The 21,135-nt window shown below is 42.4% G+C and overlaps 1 protein-coding gene across 12 annotated transcripts in view, besides 2 other annotated features; it reads right to left on the minus strand.

The window, feature by feature from the left end:
• Positions 217-716: an enhancer, noted in NCBI's record as "H3K4me1 hESC enhancer chr13:49880333-49880832 (GRCh37/hg19 assembly coordinates)". NCBI's record gives its function as "activates a minimal SCP1, AML or CMV promoter by ChIP-STARR-seq in primed H9 embryonic stem cells {active_cell/tissue: H9 hESC(primed)}" and the evidence as "EXISTENCE:reporter gene assay evidence [ECO:0000049][PMID:30033119]".
• The window catches only part of CAB39L (calcium binding protein 39 like), a 135,415-nt gene continuing 116,949 nt past the window's right edge, over positions 2,670-21,135 (minus strand). For all 12 annotated transcript variants that reach the window (NM_001079670.3, NM_001287337.2, XM_047430698.1 and 9 more), the window contains one exon: positions 2,670-5,013. In NM_001079670.3, coding sequence (NP_001073138.1) covers positions 4,834-5,013 — 180 coding nt within the window. In that variant the 3' untranslated portion in view covers positions 2,670-4,833. The remainder of the gene's footprint in view (positions 5,014-21,135) is intronic.
• Positions 7,977-9,176: an enhancer, noted in NCBI's record as "P300/CBP strongly-dependent group 1 enhancer chr13:49888093-49889292 (GRCh37/hg19 assembly coordinates)". NCBI's record gives its function as "activates an origin of replication core promoter dependent on BRD2, BRD4, P300/CBP, MED14 and CDK7 cofactors, with strong dependence on P300/CBP, by STARR-seq in HCT116 cells {active_cell/tissue: HCT116}" and the evidence as "EXISTENCE:reporter gene assay evidence [ECO:0000049][PMID:35650434]".

Raw genomic sequence — 21,135 nt, forward strand, 5'->3', positions numbered from 1 at the left:
TTCCACAATTCCCTCTCTGGCAGGTGATGAATTAGAGTTGGTCCCAAGAGCACATCGTGTCAGCTGTGAGGGGAGGTGAACTGGGGCGGGCCCCGTGTGGTCACAGCTGGCTGGCGTTGTCAGAGACCTCTGGCTCCCCTTGTTGTCAGGGTTCCCCATTCCCTGCACCTCCCCCTTCAGCTTCACCACTGTGGGCCCAGTGTGGGGGGCTCTGCACTGAAGGGTGCCTGCCCTTCTGTAGGTCCGCCATGTCCTCAGGGTCGGCAGAGGGATCTGCCCTTCCCCCCGGGCTCCTCACCTCCTGTCTATCCTCCCTTCTCTGCTGACTCGGCCCCAGTGCCAGCTGCAGGGGACAGACTTACAAAGGCCTCTGATTCCCCTGCCCCACGAGCTCCACCACCACAGGAGGCCTACAGTAACCCCGGTGTGTCACTCGGGGTCCTGTCCCAGGATCCATCCCTAACCAGCAAGGAGAATGAATTCAACAGATGTTAAATGAACAAATAAATGAGTAGTTGAATACATATTTTTGCTTTACAGCTTTAAATATCAGAACTAAAACTAAAAGTGATCTTATTTTTTCCAACCTTCCCTAAAGGATAAATTATCAATGTATATTGCAACATATTCTCCAAAGGGACCCTATGATCACAGTATTTTAAAGTAACACAGATGGCTCTCAGTGGAGTGATTAAATTGCATCTATGTTACATTGGTTGATGGTAAAGGGGTTGCGGCTTTTTGTGTGTTTTGATGGCGACTTTATTTTAGGGTATTGTAACTGCACATGCTCCTCCATGAGGAGGAAGTGATGAGGGAAGGCGGGGACCCTGGCAGGTATTGGATGTGCATCCACCATGAACTTCAGCCTCTGTAGCCCCATGGTGCTGGGGCCACTGGGAAATGGTGGAATGGCTGGCTGAGTGGCAATCGCTCCTGTCAGGAAATCTAAGCTAATGTTATGTCCAACTGAAAAAGAAAGCCAAGAAAACAAAACAGGTGCAGAATTGCAATCTGAAAAAATTTTTTAACACTTTAATTATTTAATTTTATTTTCTACAGATGAAGTCTCGCTACGTTGCCTAGGCTTGTCTCAAACTCCTGGGCTCAAGCAATCCTGATCCCCCAACTCTGCCATACCCGCCCCCCATCCCCAGCCCACCCCCATCTCCACCTCCCAAAGTGCTGGGATTAGAGGCATAAGCCACTGCCACCGCTGCAATCTGAAATTAATGCCTATGTCAAGTTGAAGGACTGCTCAAAATATTGGAGAGGTTCAAGACTGAATGTCCCTACGCTATACAGAGGTCTAATTAGATCTTCCAAACATCAGACAACCAAGTGAAGTTAAGTTACCTACCCCCTTGAATGAATCTAGCTTTTGAAATCTTTCCGCTGAGTTATCCTTTAGCGCTGGTATCCAGAATTCCTTTTTCCGTGGGGGCTGGGAGGAGATGAAGTTATCTGTCCTGGGACAGAGAGCTGAAGAATAGGCCGAGGGGCCTGAATTCACAGCCTGGTTTCCAAAGACATGGACCTTGGGGTCAGCCCTGGCCCTAAATCCTGGCTCTGTGGCCAGCTGTCTGATCTGGAGGGAGTTACTCACCCTCTCTGTGGTCCAAGTTTCCCTCCATCAGGTGGAGACTCGAGTGAGATGTCTGTGCAGGCTTAGTGCAGACCAGACCGAACACTCAGCTTTTCTCTGCTTATTATGGCAGCTACATAACAGCAGTTTCCATGTTTCAAAAACAAAATCACACCTTGTTTACATCCATCTTCAATCTTTTCAATCTTTTTATGTAGACTAAGTCTAGCTTTTCAGGGTATCCCAATAGTATATGTTTCAGACCTTTATCTAACTGTGAGCCCCCAATACAATATCCAAAACCTTTCTGAAAGAACACTCATGAAGAGATGGTGTTCATTCATGCCACATGTATAATATTCTTTTGGATAAAATGGCAAAACAAGTAAAAGACATAAAATCGTAATGTCCTCTAATACAACAGGCCAGCAAGATTTGTAAATCTGTTTTGAAACAACTATCTTTTGACATTAAAAACGATTCCAGGAATCTTTGAATTTCATTTTCCTTCACATTGTTACAATCACTTTCAGTCTTATATAATTTCTAGACTGTGCTATGGCTCACAGCAGCTGTGTCTCATGGGAAATGCAGACAAACCAGTCTGGCTGGTGAGGGGGGCTGTGGAAAGCTCACAGCCCCTCCTTGGACAGCCACATTGCTCCCCCAGAGCCATCAAAGGAGGTCCGCCTATGAGGCTGAGGGTCTGGGACATTTCCAAGGGGAGGGTGCTCCTGAGTGTTTTCTCCAGGAGCAATCCTAACTTCTGGGCAGATGCCTGGCTCTGGCCAAGAGCCTCGTCCAAGAACATTATGATCTCAGTCCCTACTGGCCTAACGCTAGGACGCTTCCAGCTGGGGAACCTCCCAGGCAGCAGTGGGGGAGAGTTCCACATGGTTTCTGATGCCCTGGACCATCCCTAGTTCACAGCCTTGACGATGGGACGGGTGCAGGGTCACTGGTTGGTGGGGCATACAGGAAGGTGTGCTGGGGCCCTGGGGCAGCATAAGGCTTTCCCTGCCTGGAACGGTGGCAAGAACAAACACAGCCACACACATGCAATGGAATGAAACCAACCAAGAAGTGTGTGGTACCTTTTATTTAGTCAGTCTTCATTTAAATGTGTGCTTTTGAAATCACTAAATATGACCTTTTCAGAATTCAATTCTCACAGTATTTACAGTGAACTTTGTGCAAACAAATCCCCCTTTGTGCAAAGGGGGAGCTTCCTGCTCCCCCTTTCACATTAATAACTTACAAATTCAGATCACAACAAAACCCCAGACTCTAGTTTTCTGTTTGAAAGGTACTGAGCTGGGATAATGGGTTGCTAGGAAAGAGCTAATGCAAGCCCAAAGGAAATAAAATGTTTTCTTTATCAGAAAAGAATAATAACAAGGCCTCACTCTCCAAAGGAAAACAGACGTCCCAAGATGTTGTGGAACAGTATTAAGTAACCAAATACAATTCCAATGGTTATTTCACCTTCATTTTTTATACTTACACTCATCTCTTTTAATTAAATAAGCGAAACCAGAAAAGTGCAATTCGAAGGGACTCTGAACTGTCAGGGAACGTTATAAAAATAATCTGACGTCAGTGACTAAAGAGTACGGGTCATCAGGCTGCCGGCCGGCCTCCTGCAAGGGCACTGGCCAGGGAGGCCACAGCTGCCAAAGCGGGGAGGTGCGCCAGGCCCCACATCACCTGCCTCGGGGTCCATGCCAGGCAAGAAAGAAACACACACCTGGGCCTAGCCAAGGGTGGTGCCCTGCCAGGTAACTCTTCAGGTACAAAATCTACAAAGGGGATCAGTCCTGGAGAACACATTTCTCTTCCCCTCTCTAGGCAGAGAAATACCTGGCTGAAGAAAAACTACACAACACTCAAGTAATGTATAAGGGAGGGTTCCTGTGGAAGGCAACGATTCATGATTTAGAAACTGAAGTGTAAAAAATACAGATCAACAATTGTGCCTTTCATTCTTGTAAAATATCGCTTTAAAATCCCGTTTTAGATGGTTGATGTCTGAAACGAAACCACGGCCTTTTAAAATATTTTTGATTCCAAGCCTTTTTATAAGGAAGAGGAATTAACACCTCAATCATCCTAGTCACAAGAGACTATTCAGGACCAAAACTGTATAGGCTTTCTATGTGTTCACTAAAGACTGTGATGGGCAATTATAGAATGACAGCTTATTAGAAAAAAATTGCTTTTATCAACATCTGATACAATGGCTCTGAAAAAAATTTATTGATGGATCTGAGAATTTTTTCACACATGAATCATTTCTCCTTCCAATGGTTATTGATACTGATAGAAGTTCCCCGCTGAGACTCCCTGGACCCATGGTTTGTGCCTGCTGGGCATCCCACTATGCTGATTCCTACTCTAAAAGACACTTACAGCAGAAAGCATTCACCCATGACCATTATGAAGGAAATATTCTGTCCCTCACTCACCCTCTGGAAGCTAATATGGAGCAGCAGTCACTCTATCCAGAGCCACATGTTCACAGTTCTCTAGCAAGCAGGTCACACCCCGTGGGTCCCCTATTCCCCGTGACCCTTGTTGATCCATCCTCTTCCTGCTCAGTTGCTCCCCTGCTCACCTGGACTGCGGGAGGCATGGGTGCGCCCACTGAGGCCATGCTGAGGAGCTGGGATGGAATGCAGGACAGGGAGAGAGGGGAGACTGAGCTGAGAGGGAGCACTGGATCCTGGGAGGTGTGGATGCACTGATTACAGTCCAAAGACATTGGCAGCAACAAAGGACACACAATGACTGAAAACATTAACGTTACCTTCTGGGATCTCTCAGTGCCCTGAGCGATCTGTGTGTCTACCTACAGATGGGCAAAGCATTTTTGCACCCTGGCCCCATTCCCAGTTCTCCCCTGAGAACTCAGTCCTCCTTGAAGACTTGGTGATGCCTGTCAATTGAGCTCCCATTTAGCGGCTCATTGTGCCCAGGGGCTCACATCTGCAAGTTAAAATTGCTTTTATCAACATCTGATACAATGGTTCTCATTTCACATAAATAATCACAGACTTGACTAAAATGAATATATTATTCTAGGTTAATTTTTTTCCATTCAAATGTTTATACTCCATCTACCCAGAACAATTACAGCAGAAAAAATAGGCACCTCCAAAGTCTTCCCAAGAATGATGACTTTCTGAAATGACACACTGTACAAACTGGACAAATGAGACGACTGACTGTGACAGGGGCCGGGGAGCTCTTCAAGGGGCCGTTTTCTTCAAGTCTCGGATCTGTTTAATCAAGTAGTTCTTCTCGTCAGCGAACTGCTCATCATCCGTCCTTTCTTTTTGGAAGCTGCTCAGAAACTCAATGAGTTTGGGCTGATTTTTTAACAGGATCTCCACAATAGGCTGTGTTTTGTGAGGACTGGCCACAAACACCTGAAACAAAAAGAAACAAATACTTAGGAGTGCAAGCCAGGGACCTCACCCACGCTACAGCAGTGCAGGCCAGGGACCTCACCCACACTACTCGCGTTTCATGCGTGACTGATATTATTAATGCGTAGAAGCCCCTGACTCTAATTCTCAGTGAGGGTGATCAATACAGTCACACACCACATAACGACATTTCAGTCAACAACAGACCATGTATACGACTGTAATCCCATAGCACCATAATGGAGCTGAAAAATTCCCATTGCCTTGTGATATCGTAGGTCAGTGCATTTACTCATGTGTCTGTGGTGATGCTGGTGTAAACAAACCTACTGCCCGGCCAGCTGCATAAAATTCAAGCCCGTACAATTATGCACAGTGCATAATACTTGATAATCAACGACGATGGTACTGGTTTACGTATTTACTATACTATACGTCTAATCATTATTTTAGAGTATATGCCTTCTACTTAGTAAACAAAAAGTTAACTGTAAAACAGCCTCAGGCAGGTCCCTCAGGAGGTATCCAGAAGAAGGCACTGTTATCGTAGGAGGTGACACCTCCATGGGTGTTATGGCCCCTGCAGACTTTCCAGGGGGACAAGATGTGGAGGTGGAAGCAGTGATACTGATGATCCTGACCCTGTGTAGGCCGAGGCTAATGTGAGTGTTTATGTCTTAGTTTTTAACAAAGAAGTTTAAAAAGTAAAAAATAAAAAACTTTAAGCACAGAAAAAGCTTATAGAATAAGGATATAAAGAAAGAAAATGTTTTTGTACAGCTGTATAATGTGTTTGTTTTAAGCTGTGTTATTGCAAAAGAGTAAAAAAGTTTTAAAAAATTAAAAAATAAACTTTTTATAAAAGTAAAAAGTTACAGTAAGCTAAGGTTATTTTTATGTATGTATTTATTTATTTTTGAGACAGGGTCTCGCTCTGTCACCCAGGCTGACGTGCAGTGGCACTATCAGAGCTCACTGCAGACTGGAACTCCTGGGCTCAAGCGATCCTCCCGCCTCAGCTTCCCCAGTGGCTAGGACTACAAGTGCATGCCACTGCACCTGGCTAATTTAAAAAGTTTTTCGTAGAGGCAGGCCTGACTATGACTGCCAAGGCTGGTCTCGAATTCCTGGTTTCAAACAATCCTTCCACCTTGGCCTCCCAAAGCTGTGGGATTACAGGCATGAGCCACCATGCCTGGCCCTAAGGTTAACTTATTATTAAAACAAGAAAAAAAATTTTTTAAATCAATTTAGTGTAGTCTAAGCAGTGTTTATGAAGTCTACAGTAGTGTACGGTAATGTCCTAGGCCTTCGCATTCACTCACCATTCAATCCCTGACTCCCCCAGAGCAACTGCCAGTCCTGTAAGCTCCATTTATGGTAAGTTCCCTATACAGGTGTACCATTTTTTCTCTTTTATGCCATCTTGTTACTGTATCTTTTCTATGTTTAGATACCCAAATACCATTGGGTTATAATTGCCTGCAGTATTCAGTATGGTAACATGCTGCACAGGTTTGTGCTCTAGGCGCAATAGCCCACACTATATAGCCTAGGTGTGTGGCAGGCTCCACCACCTAGGTCTGCGTAAATGCACTCTGTGATGTTCCCACACAAAGGACATCGCCTAGTGAGCATGTTTCTCAGAACAACTCCCTGCTGTTAAGCGCCACAGGCCTGCACTTCACCTTTCCTATCACTCTCCTAAGTCACTAGCTAGGAGCACGTGGGAGCTATCTATGAACATTTCATATTTGACTTTGTTTTACTTTTAAATATTTGTTCTTAACTATAAAATCTTTCAAACAGAAAATAACATAACAAATCCAGTATACGTACCTCACAAATTGAATAGATTTTACCATTGTGCCTCAAGAGTCTCTTTTTAAACAAATAAAACATTACAAATGGAACCAAACCCTCACCTTCCACCTTTCCCCTCCCACCTCCAGCAGTGTGCCACCATCTCTGGGCACATTTCAATCCTTATCCTCCTATTACATAGATATTTAAACATAAACAACATATAGTATGAAAGAGCTTATGATTTTTAAACATAATTTATTTTTTGAACACATAATATCATCACCTAGTTCAAAATTCAAAAAGGACAAACGTGAATAGTCCTCCTCTCACCTTCCCTCCCTGGAGGTCACCAATGTCACTGTTTGTTACATATGTGAAGCTTTAAAAATTACAACTGCTGGGCCAGGCGCGGTGGCTCATGCCTGTAATCCTAGTACTTTGGGAGGCCGAGGTGGGCGGATCACGAAGTCAGGAGATCGAGACCATCCTGGCTAACACGGTGAAATCCCATCTCTACTAAAAATACAAAAAATTAGCCAGGCGTGGTGGCGGGCGCCTGTAGTCCCAGCTACTCGGGAGGCTGTGGCAGGAGAATGGCGTGAACCCAGGAGGCGAAGCTTGCAGTGAGCTGAGATCGCGCCACTGCACTCTAGCCTGGGCAACAGAGTGAGACTCCGTCTCAAAAAAAAAAAAAAAAATTACAACTGCCCAGGTCCTACCTCCCAGATACGTCAACTCAGCAGGTCTGTGGTGGATGTCTAGCATTCTGTATTTCTATGAAGTTCCACAGAGATTCTTATGTGAACTCCTGGTGGAAACCACGATCTGATACTGACTGGTGCACTATTTTGTAAAAGACACACTCCTTAGTTACTGCTACATACATGACCACATGACCAGAATGCAGATCAAAGTGTCTCTGAGCCCTACAGAGCTCTCTGGTGTGATGGTCTGGCCTCCTGCCTCTGCCTGGCACCCCCTCTGCCCACCCATCCCTGTCCCATAGCTGTGCAGTGCCCAACTCTACAGGGAACACACTATGAAAGGGCTTAGTTATGGGGCAGTGGGGGTTTCATGGCTAAGCCTTTAAGGTTCCTCCACCCTAGCAAGTGTGGGGAAGGAGAAAACTACCCTAGGATGTTGAGTACCAATGTGGAGAATACAAGACTGCAGAGGCTCCCATCCCAGGAGGTGGCGATGACATTACATTTCCGGGTTTGGAACAGGAAGGCTCATGGTGTGGGCGGCATGAGAGCTAGTCCATGAGTCAGGCAGAGAATGTTTACACGTGGTGGTAAGAAAAGCAGCATTCCAGGAATACTGAATTGTCCCACTGCAGGCTCTGAGGTGGGCGGGACAGGACGTGGGAGCAACAGTAAGAATGAGTAAGGGAACGTGGGAGCTAAGGCGGCGCCGGCTCTGGAACCTGGGTTCAAATTCCACCTCTCCTACATGTTAGCAGTGTGTCCACCAGCAAAGTTTTGTTATCTAGAAATAAAAGGACCTCTGCCTGTCTGGGTGGGGAGAATGTGCTGGAGAACATCAGCAGCTTCAGCACAAGTAAGTCTCCTGAAAGCCTTCTGTTGTCACTGTATGTGGGGAGTCGTGCTTGCTGGAGGCAAAGTGCCTGAACTGAATTCAAGGCCTCGTCACTGCCCCATCACCCTAATTCTGGTCAACTGTACACACGACCGTGGGCAGCCAGTTCATAGCCCTCCCAGCTGGTTGTCTTCATTCATGGGGCTAAGTGTTTCACACTCATCGAACACTTAACCCTCACAACAGCCCTGAAGTATAAGAGCTGTTATCCTCATCTGTTAATAAGGAAACAGGCTGAGTCATATTAATAAACTTGACCACATAGTAGTATGGTTAACAGCGCAGATTCAGAAGCACACAGCCTGGGCCCAAATCCTAGCACCATCTCTTATTAGCTTTATGATTTCACAAAACTTGTTTACCTCTCTGTACCTCAGTTTCTTCATCTGAAAAATGGGGATGATAACAGTACCTGAGTGCCATTAGGTAACTGTGAGGCTTAATGAGAACAGTATATGTATTCTACTCCATGCATTCAAATGGTACATGGCACACAGCATGCACCATTCAAATGCATGGAGTAGAACACATACATTGTTGCAAAATTGCTTTTGCCAGGCTCACAGAACTAGCAAGGGCTGAAGCTGAGATTAATCCCAGGATGCTTGTTCTGAGAACTGATGAGATGTGACATTTTACCAGGTGAGGTTCAGAACTAGAAATCAAAGCCCACAAATCTGATACTCAGTTCATTTGGCCAATTTAGTTCTGAAATTGTTCATAAATATGATATATAAATTCTTCATGTTTCTGTTCTTTCCATCAAAGGTCATGGACTCACTCACACAGCAAGTGCTAAGGAATACAGAACCCTCTCTGGGAACACTGCACGTCCCTGTGGTCACGAGTGGCTCATGATGAGACAGTCTCTTGGCAGCCCACATGGCTTACTTACAGTGAGCCCACCGCTCAGCCAGGCCAGGGGACCCATAACAGAGAAGGAAAAGGGTTTCCTAAGCTTCTGCTTGGTGGGTCTACAGCCATGGGGTGACAAGGAGGAACTGACCTTTGACCTTCTGGGTTATAAAGTATCCTAGGCTCCTCTGAAACAACCAATGGGAAATAGAAATCACAAAGAAAATTAGAAAACACTTTGAGACAAATGAAAACAAAAACAAAATATATCAAAACTCATAAGATGCACCAAAAGCAGTGCTCAGGGGGAAATTTATAGCTATAAATGCCTACATTAAAAAAGAAAGATCTGGACTGGGTACGGTGGCTCACGTCTGTAATCCAGCAGCGTGGGAGGCCAAGGCGGGCGGATCATGAAGTCAGGAGTTTGAGACCAGCCTGACCAACATGGTGAAACCCTCTGTCTACTAAAAATACAAAAATTAGCCGGGCATGGTGGTGTGCGCCTGTAATCCCAGCTATTCAGGAAGCTGAGGCAGGAGAATGGCTTGAACCCAGAAGGCGGAGGTTGCAGTGAGCCAAGATCGTGCCACGGCACTCCAGCCTGGGCAACAGAGCAAGTCTCCATCTCAAAAAAAAAAAAAAAGAAAAGAAAAGAAAAGAAAGATCTCAGATTAGTAACCTAGTTTTATAGCTTAAGGAACTAGGAAGAGAAGAACAAACTAAACCAAAGCAACATAAGGAAGGAAAGAATAAAACTTAGAGCAGAGATAAACAAAACGGAGAACAGGAAAATGACAGAATCAATGAACCCAAAAGTTGGTTCTTTGAAAAAAATTAATAAAATTGATAAACCTTTAGCTAGATTGACTAAGAAAAGAAAGAAGACTCAAATGCTAAACATTACTAATGGCCTTATAGAAATAAAAGGGGATTATGAGAGATGCTATGAACAATTATATACTAAAAAATTAGATAACCTAGATGATGACATGGCCAAATTCCTAGAAACATGCAGACTACCCAACTGACTCAAGAAGAAACAGAGAATCTGCAGACCTCTGACAAGAGATCAAATCAGTAACTTCCAACAAAAAAGAGACCAGGACCAGATGGCTTCACTAGTAAATTCTACCTAACATTTAAAGAAGAATTAACACAAATCTCTCTCAAATTCTTCTGAAAACTGTAAGAAATGGGAACACTTCCTAACTTATGATATGAGGCCAGTATTACCCAAATACCAAAGCCAGAGAAAAACAACACAAAAAAACTACATACCAGTATTCTCTATGAATAAAAATGCAAAAAATCCTCAACAAAATACTAGAAAACCAAGTCCATCACTATATCAAAAGGATTCTATACCATGACCAAGTGGGATTTATTCCCCAGAAATACAAGGGTGGTTCAACATAAGCAAATCAATCAATGTAACACATCACATGTACTGGGTTAAACTGTGTTCCCCAAAAAGATATGTTCAAGTCCTAATTCTCAGTATCTGTGAGCGTGATTTTATTTGGAAACACAGACTTTCTTTACAGATGTACTCAAGATAAGATGAGGTCAATACTGGCTTAGGGTGGCTTTACTCCAATGACTGGTGAACTCTGGACACAGAGACGCTTAGGGATATAGAGGAGAACGCCATGTGAAGATGGAAACAGAGATGCTTCTATAAGCCAAGGAGCACCAAGGACCTCTGGCAACCACCAGAAGCTGGGAGAGAAGCAAGGAAGATTCTCCCTGAGAGTCTCCAAAAGAAGTCAATGCTGCCAACACCTTGATTTTGGACTTCTGGCCTCCAGAACTGTGTTTTCTGTTGTTTTAAGCCATTCTGTCTGTGGTACTTTGTTATGGCAGCCTAGAAAACTAACACAAGTGTACCGCATTAGCAGAATATAGGGAAACCACATGATCTTCTCAATTGATACAGAAAAAGAGTTTGATAAAATCCAACACCTTTTCATGATAAAAACACTCAACACGGAGGCTGGGTGCAGTGGCTCACACCTCTAAACCCAGCACTTTGGGAGGCCGAGGTGGGCGAATCGCTTGAGCCCAGATATTCAAGACCAGCCTGGGGAACATGGCGAAACCCCCTCTCTACAAAAAATATAAAAATTAGCCAGGTGCCGTAGTGCACACCTGTAGTCCCAGCTACTCGGGAAGCTGAGGTGGGAGGATCAATTGAGCCTGGGAGGTTGAGGATGCGGTGAGCTGTGATGGTGCCACCACACTCCCACCTGGGCAACAGAGTGAGATGCTGTCTCAAAAAACAAACAAACAAACAAAAAACACTCAATATAGGACATTTGGATATTCACATGCAAAAGACGAAGCTGAGCCCTTATCTTACTCTAAATAAAAAGTAAAATCAATCAAAGACCTAAATATAAGAGCTAAAATTTTCACAGGAAAATACAGGGTAAATTTTCATAATGTTGGATTTGGCAATGGTTTCTTAGATATGACACCAAAAATACAAGCAATGAAAGAAAAAACAGGTAAACTGAACCAAATTGAAAACTTTTGTATATCAAAGGATACTATCAAGAGAGTGAAAAAAACACACAGAACGGGAGAAAATATTTGCAAATCATATATCTGATCAGTGTCTTGTATCCAGGATATATAAAGAACTCTTACAACTTAACAACAACAACAGAAAACCCATTCCAAAAAGGGGAAAAGAACTTGAACAGACATTTCTCCAAAAAAGATATACAAATGGCCAATAAGCACATTTTTAAAATCCTCAAAATCACTAGTCATTATGGAAATGCAAGTCAAAATCACAATGAGATACCACTTCGCACCCACTAGGATGACTGCAAAAACAAAACAAAACAAAAAAACAAAAACAAAAAACTCTGACAGTAACAAGTGTTGCAAAGATGGATGGAGATAAATTGAAACCCTGGGCCAGGAATGATGGCTCATGCCTGTAATCCCAACACTTGGGGAGGCTAAGGTGGGAGGATCACTTGAGCCCAGGAGTTCAAGTTCAAGACCAGCCTGAGCAACACAGCAAGACCCTGTCTCCACAAAAAATTAAAATATTAGTTGGGCATTGTGGTGCACATTGTAGTTCCAGCTGCTCAGGAGGCTGATGCAGCAGGATTGCTTGAGCCCGAGAAGTTGAGGCTGCAGTGAGCTGTGATTCCAGCCCGGGTAACAGAGCAAGACTGTGTCAAAAAAAGGAAAGGAAAGGAAAGGAAAGGAAAGGGAAAGGGAAAGGGAAAGGGAAAGGGAAAGGGAAAGGGAAAGGGAAAGGGAAAGGGAAAGGGAAAGGGAAAGGGAAAGGGAAAGGGAAAGGGAAAGGGAAAGGGAAAGGGAAAGGGAAAGGGAAAGGGAAAGGGAAAGGGAAAGGGAAAGGGAAAGGGAAGGAAAGGAAAGGAAAGGAAAGGAAAGGAAAGAAAGAAAAGAAATTGTTGCTGGTGGGAATATAAAATGACACAGCCTCTGTGGAAAATTGGCTGTTCCTCAGTAAGTTCAACAATGAATTACCATATTACCGAGCAACTCCTTTCCTAAAAATGGAATACATTGTTCAAACAAAAACTTGTGTAGTAGTGTTCATAGCAGCACTATTTACAATAGCCAAAAGGTGCAAACAACCCAAATGTCCCTTAACTGATGAATGGATAAACAAATTTGTGGTATACCCATGCAATGGAATATTATTTGGCCATTTAAAAGAATGAAGTACCGGGCCGGGTGCAGTGGCTTACACCTGTAATCCCAGAGGCCAAGGCAGGTGGATCACTTGAGGTCAGGGGTTCATGACCAGCCTAGCCAACATAGTGAAACCTTGTCTCTACTAAAAATACAAAAATTGGCTGGGTGTGGTGGCAGATGCCTGTAATCCCAGCTACTCGGGAGGCTGAGGCAGAAGAATCCCTTGAACCTGGGAGGTAGAGGTTGCAGTGAGCCGAGATCGTGCCACTGTACTCCAGCCTGGTGACACAGCGAGACCCTGTCTCAAAAAAATTAAAACAAAATAAAAAAAGAATGACGTGCTGATGGATCATGCTACAACATGGATGAACCTTGAAAACAGTGTATGAACAAAACACCACACAAAAGGCCACACACTGTATGATTCTATTTATATAAAATATCTGGAATAGGCAGATCCATGGAGCCAGAAAGCAGACTAATGATCGCCAGGGGATGGAGGTGAGGGGCAATGGGGAATGACTGCTTACTGAGTACAGGGTTTCCTTTTGGGATGATGAAATGTTCTGGAACTAGATATTGGTGACAGTTGTACAACATCGTAAATACACTAACTGTTACTGAATTGTACACTTTAAAATGGTTAATGCTGAATTTTATGTTATGTGAATTTTACCACAATAAACTAAAATTGTTACTTATATTAAAAAAAAAAAAAAGGGACTCCAGGCCTGTTTATACAAACTGCCTGATGTTTATGTAATACCTATCAGAAATGTGTGGCTGCTCTGGTTACCATTTGTTTACAAGGGAGTTGCTGTGAAGTTTTAGCTAAAAATTGCCTGGCATTTTGTGGTGACTACATAAATAACTCATGACAGTCTTTCTTTCTTAAAAAAAAAAAAAAAAAGATTAACTATAATAGACAAACTGATGTTGCAAACCAAAATAATAGACAAACTGATGTTGCAAACCAAAATAAATGTAAAATGTACTGGAATTTGCAGACAGGCATCACTGGTTCAATTCCACTGAATTCATTCACTGTACCATAAACCTAAGGAAAATGCTAAGTTTGTGCCCAGGTTTTAAATTTTTTCTTGTTTTTATTTTTTATGGCTTCTGAACTCTGCCGCCTCTAAAAGTAGTTGCTGACTGGAGTCAGCTAATGCAATAGTGCATGATTCCCTTGGGGCAGCCAGGACACTGGTCAAGGCCTGAGATTAACACACTGATGATAAGAAACACACTTCTAATTCAAGGTATATGGAAGCAAGTCTTTTGAATATTATGTCCAGGGTAGAAATTTTTTTGGTTGTCTTTGTTGTCCCTGTTTTTTAAAAAATGTAATTTTCAAACCACCCCCAAACAAATGAAACTACCCAGGACTTCTCCTTTTAGAATGCCGCCTTATTGCCTGTATCCCTCAGTTTACATAACATGCCTGAGAGATGTGATCTGTGGAGTTCTCAGGCGTGGTGAGAGGAAGGCAAATATCATGACCACAACTCAAATATTTTTAGTTTAGAAGACTGAAAATATTGCACTCTCCATTTTAAAACTGAATGCATTTCATGGAAAATAAAATATCTACATCTTACACACATATCCATTAATTTCATTCAAATTCTATTTTGCCAACAGGGATTGAGCCAGACAAGGTATGGGGAGGTTAGTCTTCTGCGTTGCTGACCTCACTGCCTTTGATGCGTGCTGCAAGCCTGGAATGCTCTGTATATGCTCCTGTTACGGTTATGTGGAAGCTACTCCAAGCAAAATCCCACCCCATCGAAGTGTCAAATAAGGCAACCATGTCCTTATTCATATGACTACACATCTGAGTAATAATTTAGAATATTTTGACACAATACTTGCTAGTACTGATCAGAGACAATTAACTTTTTCCTGTTTAAGAAAGGACTTGATTGTTAAATCTGCAAGCTGGTTGGGTGTCTATAAGCATCACTGGGCCCACGACAGAATTAGACTGGACCCCACTGCACATCAAGGGAGGAAGAAAAGCCCCAGGAAGGAAGTGAGGGTGGTGGAGGCCAGCAGCCTGAAAGTACAGGATGCTCTAAAAACCTCTAGAATCTCCTGAAATCCTCCTCCTCACTGCCACCATTCTTACCATCACTCTGATTACACAAGTGATACATGTGGAAAACTAGTGAAATAAAGAAAAGCACAAAGAAGAAAGTAAAAAAATCACTGACATAATTCCTCCACCCAGAGATAACCCCTGTGAATATCTGGTGTATGTATGTGCAGCATTTTTTTCTTGTGCACGTCACTATTTGTAGAAATATTTTAAACAAAACTGGGCTTGCATTCTGTACATAGTACTTTGTAAACTACTTTTTCCTTAACAATATGTTTTTTAATGCTTGTAGATTCTTCTTACATTACATGAGATGATCGCCATTTCAAAAAGATAGATATCATCTGCTGAATCCTTGCTATGCACTGGGCATTGTGCTAAACAGTTTATACGAATTGTATTCTTTTATCTTGACAACGGCTCTGGGAGGAAGATACAATTTTTCCCCAATCTCCAGGTGAAGCTGAGAGAAGTTAAAGCAGCATCCCTGACCACTAGGCTGTGTGTGCAGCGTGCGCCTTCCGGGCTGTGCTGGGTGCTTCCGCTAGTGACTACACGACAGTATGGCTGCCAGCTTCGCCCTCTCCATGTGTGGCAGTGACCGACTATTTCGTTCAAATGTTCTTAACTACTTATCTAAAGGTAGGGGCAAGGAGGGGAAAAGGGGCTTGGGGTCAAGCTATAATCACGTTTCTCATCTTTAAAACTGTTAAGTAAACTAGTGGATCAAAGAAATGGGAACGCCTTCTTTCCAAAGTTTTTTCAGCATTTTAATGTTGCCTTTAGACAGCTAAATGCAAGGTGGATGTCTGGACACTTCCTTAGAGTAACAGAACACGTTGATTTGAACTGAACAATTCAAGCCTGTAGGCAGTTTTGTAAAAGGAATATAGCATAGTGATTACCTATATCTCACGGAGTTTTTAAAAAGTTTTTCTTAAAAACAGCTTTATTAAAATTCAGACTATATAGTTGACTCATTTAAAGTATACTTTTTAATGTTTTACAGTATATTCACATAGTTGTGCAATCATCACCAGAATCAATTTTAGAACATTTTTATCATCCCAAAAAGAAACCCTATACCCATTAGCAGTCGCCCGCCCCCTCCGCACCCCAACATGCTCCCAGCTCTAGGCAACACTAATCTACTTTCTGCCCCTAGAGCTTTGCCGTATTCTAGACATTCATATAAATGGACTAATAAAATACGTGGTTTCTATGACTAGCTTCTTTCACGTAGCACAATGTTTTTAAGGTTAATCCATGTTGTAGCATGTTACGAATGCCACATCCTTTTTGTGGCCAAAATTGGATTGGGTTTTGAAAGTATTCAATGAGTATGTCCTTATAAAGTGTTTAGCAGAGTTTCTGGCCCGCAGCGACTGCTCATTACAGTTGCTACTTCCTTCAACGTGAAATCACTGCAGTGTCACATACAGCAGTAATCGCTTTCCCAAATATTTACTGTTATGCAGATGCAAGTTATTAAGATTCATATTTAAACCCAATAGCTCATTTTAACTATTTTGGGTAAAATATTTTATCTTCCATCCAAAGAATGAGTATACTAGTATTTCCTCTAGTAATACTGTAAAAAGAGGAATTCATACTTCTAATATACTTTATCACAGTCAATTGTAGAAAGAATAGACTCTTGTAACTGGGAGGGACCTCAGGAACTTAGCTAATTCATCCTTCCACTTCAGACACAACCCACTGGTAATTCTTGGCAAACAAGAATTGATTCCTATTAGATCCCCTGAAAAGGTGATTCTATAACCATCCTCAATGACCTATTCCAGTGTCTACAACTCCCGTTCTCAGAAAATTGGTTTTATTTATAGTCACTCTCCGCAGCCTATTGAGATAGCTGCTGTTGGCTTGCATTATGATATTCTATGAAACATGTGCTCTGCCCTCAAGTACCACTGTTAAATTTCTCTGTCAGTCTTCTTTTTTGGTGCATAAGTGTTTTTAAATCTTTCCACATAGGTCTTGTTTTCCAAATAGCTCAATCATTTCTGTGGCTTCTCTCTGCTGAGCCTCTCTGTATTCTCTATACCCTCCTCCAGGTAAGCACCTCAGAGGAACTGTGCAGTCTCCTTTCCTAGGATCCTTAAGGAGAAGTCATTTACCTGATGACATGGCCAACCTCAAGATTCCCAGAGCTGTCAATATAAACTTCATCCCGGTGAAATCTGACTCGAGTTGAAGAGAACACTGGCTTTGTGCATCAGGGGCCTTCACTCTGCTATCACTTGCTCACCCTGGACTTTTCTGCTCTTTGTGCCATCACTTTCTCAATGATTTTATTTCCTTCCCAGGTCTGTGATACTGTACTTTTCATCACTGAGCTTTTAGCCACTTATTCCTGGTTTCATCTACAATGGACAAATACTACAGCCATTCAGAATCCTTATTCTTCCCGGAGGCCTTCAGCTCCATCGGAAGGTCTGGCGAATGTGATGAGCACACACGCTGCTGACCTCATTCTCCAAGCCTCAGATGGAAATGTGGACCAGGACTTCCCAGGGGAAGCCGCCTGCACAAAACATAGATTCCAGACCTACACATTCTCGCTTTCTGAATGGAATATGCCAGGAAGGAAGGATCTAAATATATTCACAAGTCAGAATAGTTCTATTTAACATGACGATGCTTGTCAAACATTTTGTCAGAAAGATTTTTTTAAAAGATACTATATTACTACCCAGGACTCTGTTCTTGTCCCAATATTTGAAAACTGAAATGAGTCCCTCCAGGTTAGCATTACCAGATTTAGTAAACAGAAAGAGAGGATGCCCCATTAAATTCTGTTTCAGATGAACAATGAGTAATTTTTTTAATGTTAGTATGTTCCGTGCAGTGCTATACTTTGGCCATCTCAAATTCAAATTGAATGGGGCATCTTGTATTTTATCTGGCAATCCTTATCTGGTTCAGAGGCACAGAGGCTCTCAGTTTCCTTCCTTTAAGAACATACATATTGGCTGGGTGCGGTGGCTCATGTCTGTAATCCCAGCACTTTGGGAGGCCGAGGGAGGCAGATCACTTGAGGTCAGGAGTTTGAGAACAGGTTGGCCAACTTGGTGAAACCCCATCTCTACTAAAAATACAAAAAAAAAATTAGCCAGGTGTGGTGGTGGGTGCCTGTAATCCCAGCTACTTGGGAGGCTGAGGCAGAAGAATCACTTGAACCTGGGAGGCAAAGGTTGCAGTGAGCCGAGATCACACCACTGCACTCAAGCCTGGGTGACAGAGCGAGACTCTGTCTCAAATAAAAAATAAATAAATAAAAATAAAAATAATTCTAAAAAAAGAACATACATATTAATTTACTTACTCAGACATTAATTAAATATTTAAATAGCCACTATGTGCCAAAAACCCTTCTAGTTGTTAGGAGATAGAGCAGAGAAAGAACAAATCAGAGGAAAATTCCTGCTCGCAAAGCGCTTCTACGAAATACAAAGGTCTGGCAAAGAGGCACTTTGCCATTTCGAATTTACCAGCCTCAGTTCCCCACATATAAGTGGGGCTATGTAGAAGAAAGAACATGGGATTTGGAAGCAGAAGATGGCCTTGTCTGTGAGAGCTCAGGCTTGTCACTTAATCTCTCAGACAGTTTCCTCGCCAATGAAACGGACACCACATCTGCCTGACTTCACAGATGGGGTGAGGATCACATGGAATTTTGTCAGGGAAAGTGTTCTGTACGCTACAAAATGTTAAAATGTTACTAACATTATTGTTAATGCAATTGCTTTGGTATTTTGGAAATCAAATCTTTGGGATCTACAAATTTCATATAATTGTGGAAGTTACATAGGAAACTAGACATGTATCCCAAAATTACATGGAAAAGCAACTTAAATTTTTTTATGCTAGGTAATATTCACAAACATTAAGTATAGGCTGCATTTTCTTTATATACTACTGCAAAAATATTTTGTAAAGTAGGTAACAACATTATAAACATTCAGTAGCAGGATTATCAAACAGAGCCGTAAGTAACATATTTATATACTTGTTTGATGATGTTGCTAAAGTTTGCCAGAAATACCCATTGCAAACCTTTCTATAAAGAAACATAGAGTTGATTGTTTTATGAATTTTTAAAGAAAGTCTTTTTAAAAATAGAAAGGAGAAGTGAGGCCTTAATTATGACTTTCCACATTTTCTCCTTGGCTTCTTTGTTAAATATGCAAAAGGGTAAAATAAGATCAAATGAGGACACGATAAAGCTGAATGTTCGACACCATTTAAAAGCAGTTGGTGAGACATTAAGTCAGAAGTTGGTATACTTTTCAATATGCTGTTACAATTTTAGGGGAAATTATCATTATTAAACTAGTTCATAGCCAATTCCTAAATTCACTTGGTCTCAATTGCTTTCTCCATGAGTACGGTTAGATTTGGTACACCATGACCATAGTAGTTTGGTGTGCTAGAAAGTGGGTCCTTAGGCCGGGAGTGGTGGCTCACGCCTGTAATCCCAGCACTTTGGGAGGCTGAGACGGGCGGATCACCTGAGGTCGGGAGTTTGAGACCAGCCGGGCCAACATGGCAAAACCTCATCTGTACTAAAAATACAAAAATTAGCTGGGTGTGGTGGCACATGCCTGTAATACCAGCTACTCGGGAGGCTGAGACAGGAGAATCACTTGAACCTGGGAGGTGGAGGGTGCGGTGAGCCGAGATCATGCCACTGCACTCCAGCCTGGGCAACAAGAGTGAAATTCCATCTCAAAAATAAATACATAAATAAATAATATTAAAAAGTGGGTCCTTAAGGAAGTGAGTAATTCACGGTTAGTCCTTCACTAAATTCATCTGTAATTTTGCTTATTTTCAGTAAGACCACACGGAAACTATTCTCATTCTTGTTCTACATACTTTTTTGGCTGAACTGTCAAGCCGACTTTTATATTCTGGAATAAGCTGGGGACAGAACTTCTTGTTTTGAAGGGAATAGCTATTATAGCCAAATGCTAGGATCTGAGTGACAGACTAGTGCCATATTTGGCACTGGCCATGCCTGAGTTCCAGCAGCTCTGAGCGAGCAAACGACACAGACCATTTTCTTACACCTTACATGGTTTGGTGGGAAGGGGCAACACGGCCCTTTGCTATCAAGGTTAACAGGGAAAGGAAAGGGAGAAGATCATCTCATAATGTATCCCTCAATCCATATTGGGCACATCTCTGGGAGAGTCAGGACCAGAGACAAAAGTCTCCTGACCTAGTATCTTAGAATTACACTTCAGCACTTTCATTTTGCAAGTGAAAAAATGCATCCAGGTGGATTTGCCCAAAGTGGCTGCTGGCAACTGAGACAGAACAAAGACCTTGCTCTCTTGACCTCCATCGGGGCTTTCCCACCACACTATCCTGCTCACCAATAGTAGGAAGCACGTGCTGAGCCTATTAGCAGGCTAATGAGAGTCAGCCATTAACAATCCAGCAAAGACATTTTCAGGACTGGGTTCCACATTCTTTGCACCCTACGGAAGGTGCTCTGGGGAAAAAAACCTATTAATTAAACGATGTGAAAACAATCCTAGGACTTAGCTGTTACTTTTTTCTAAATAACAAAATATTTTTGGCAAGTAAACAATGTAGTTCATACTTCAGTGGAAGGAACATAGCCGGGGTACGGGGCAGGCCAAGTTACACACATACAAGTAAACAAGCGGTCAACTATTTTTAAATGTACCTACCCTGTCCAATGATTAGGTGACCCAAATTCTGATCTTCTCAGAGGATGGAAATAGGTTATTTTTATTTTGCAACCCACTGTTTCCTTCTATATATAATACTGCATTTTTGAACAAAATTATATGAAGTTTATTCTCATTTAAAGTTCTGTGGGAGCTGAATGATATGATACACAGCCTTCTACAATTCCTTCGGTCCAAGGGTCTTGAGAGGGCCTATCATTTTATAATGTGTAGGCATTTTCCAGGCCTACAGCACTCTATTTTTGTTTCATTCTTTTTTTTGAAACTTTTTATGAAATAATTCTAACACATGGAAGAGTACAAGAGTAACATATCAGACTTCATATTCCCACC

Source organism: Homo sapiens, chromosome 13, assembly GCF_000001405.40.
Source record: "Homo sapiens chromosome 13, GRCh38.p14 Primary Assembly".
NCBI classification, from domain to species: domain Eukaryota; kingdom Metazoa; phylum Chordata; class Mammalia; order Primates; family Hominidae; genus Homo; species Homo sapiens.